This window comes from Homo sapiens, chromosome 10 (genome assembly GCF_000001405.40).
Source record: "Homo sapiens chromosome 10, GRCh38.p14 Primary Assembly".
Classification (NCBI taxonomy): domain Eukaryota; kingdom Metazoa; phylum Chordata; class Mammalia; order Primates; family Hominidae; genus Homo; species Homo sapiens.
In genome coordinates, this window is record NC_000010.11 from 80,297,584 (window position 1) to 80,300,215 (window position 2,632).

Sequence of the window (2,632 nt, forward strand, 5' to 3'; positions counted from 1 at the left end):
CACCTCTTGCTCCAGCCAGAGCTTGGGGTTAGGTCTTCACTGCCATGTGTCCTCTGTTTCGGGAGGCCTAGGTGATTCTGCCACAGCCTCCATCATTCTGTGACCTGCTGTTATTGGAAGATTTATAGCTAAGACTCCAGGACATCCCTGACTCTGAGACATGGGACTCAATATTCAGAGACGTGGCCATAGAATTCTCTCCAAAGAGTGCAAATGCCTGGCCCCTCCCCAGTGGAATTTGTATAGAGATATGATGTTAGAGAACTATAGAAACCTGGCCTTCCTGGCTATGTATTCTTTTTTTTTTTCTTTTTGAGATGCAGTTTCGCTCTTGTTGCCCAGGCTGGGACGCAATGGCACAATCTCAGCTCACTGCAACCTTCACCTCCCAGGTACAAGCAATTCTCCTGTATCAGCCCCCCAAGTAGCTTGGATTACAGACATGTGCCACCACACCCGGCTAATTTTTTCGTATTTAGTAGAGATAGGGCTTCACCATGTTAGTCAGGTTGGTCACGAACTCCTGACCTCAGGTGATCCACCGCCTCGGCCTCCCAAAGTGCTGGGATTACAGGTGTGTGACACTGCACCGGGCTGGCTATGTATTCTTATTACAACCAAGGCCTTTCACCTGAGCAAGGCATAGACGATTCATTCTAAAAAGTGACACTGGGAAGATATGGGAGCTGTGGCCTTAAAAATGTACACTTATGGAAAAATTGTGAAAGTGTGGGTGAAGGTAGAGGGCAAAAAGAACGTTATAATGTACATAGCCAATATTAGACAACTACTCATAACAAAATTTTAACTGTGAAAGGAGATCAAAAACAGAATATTACAGAAGAAGGCTCAGTTTATGTTGGCTACTTCTACAGAAGCATATGTTTCTGTAAGTAAATATCAACATCAATTTTTGAAGTCCATCTGTTGTAATGAAAATCAGAAAAACTTTAACCATGACTCAAAAATTAGTAAGCATCAGAGTACTCATTTTCTAGAAAATGATTATAAATGTAATGAATGTGGGAAAGTATTTTATTGATCCTCAAAATTTATTTTTCATCAGAGTATCCTATTCCAGAAAAGCCTGACAACTGTAATGAATATGGTAAAACTTCTAGCCAGTCCTTAAAACTTTCTCAACATCAAATAATTAACATTGGAGAGAACTCACAAAGATGTAACAAATGTATAATAGTCTTTAGTCAGTCATCACATCTAAATAGACATAAGTTAATCAACACTGGAGAGAAATCATTCAGATGTAAATAATGTGGCAAAGCTTTTACCTGGGACTCACATCTTAGACAACATCAGAAAATCCATACTGGAGAGAAACCCTTCAAATATAAAGAATGCACAAAGCCTTTAACCAATATGCACACTTTATACAACATCAGAGAATTCACACTGGAGAGAGACTTTTTAAATGTAAAGAATGTGGAAAAGCTTTAAACTGGGGCTCACAACTTACTCAACATTAGAGACTCCATACTGGAGAGAAACTTTTCGAATGTAAAGAATGTGGCAAGGCCTTTAACAGGCACTCAAACCTTACTTAGTATCAGATAATTCACCCCAGATAAAAACCCCACAAGTATAAAGAATGTGCCAATGCCCAAAACTAGTGCTCACACCTTACTCAACATTAGAAAATCAATTCTAGATAGAAATCTAATACATGTAATGATTTTGAAAAAAATATTTGCTCAAGATATATACCTTAGAAAACACCACATTATTTATGCTAAAAAACATTTTTACACATATAAAGCAGTTATCAAAGCCTTTAGCTGTTGCATAAATCTTACTTGACAGAGAGTTCCCATAGCAGAGAACCCATACAAATGTAATAAATGTGAAAAGACCTTTATCCAAAATATATACCCTAGAAAACATCAGAGTTTATGCTAGGAAGAAATTACAGGCTCAATAAATGTAGGAATGTATTTAATAAAAATTAAAGTCTAAATTAAAATCAGAAGAATCGCCCTAGAAAGAACTAAAGTAATAACACTTTGAGACATTACTCTAAATCAGAGTGGTTATTACAGAGAATAATCCAAACTCAAAATAATTAGGTAATTGTATGTTTGAAAAAAGTAAAGACATTGAATATGATTATACCTATCCATCAATGTACACTTTTTTATAATGACAGTATTTGAGATTACATGAAAAAATATTAATGTAATTAAATTCAAATTACTCTTATTTCTTTATTCCAACTGTTTTTGTAAAAGCATGTGGTCAATTGTTGCTACCTCCAACCTATGAGAGGCCCTTCTATATTAGGTAGGCATTATACACATTAACTCTCCCACAAAAGATGAAGAGCATTGACATGTACAACATATGATAAAGTGCATGTATGTTTAAATCTAAAATCTAAATCTTAAATCTAAATAAAGGTGCTCTTTTTGTTTGACTTACAGCAGTGTTTTAAGTCATGTATGAGTTCGCTGTTCAGAATATCATTGTTCCGCATTAAAGTATGGGACAGAAACACAGTATGAGACAGTTTTAGAAATATTGCTATTAATAGCAATAAACAAATCTTCACAAATATCACAGAACAGTGTAAATAACTTCCCTCTGATAAGACATAGACTAATTGTGAATTCAACTCTGT

General features: G+C 35.7%; 1 pseudogene; it reads left to right on the forward strand.

Annotated features, from left to right (window-relative positions):
- On the forward strand, positions 595 to 1,619 carry ZNF519P1 (zinc finger protein 519 pseudogene 1; annotated as a pseudogene).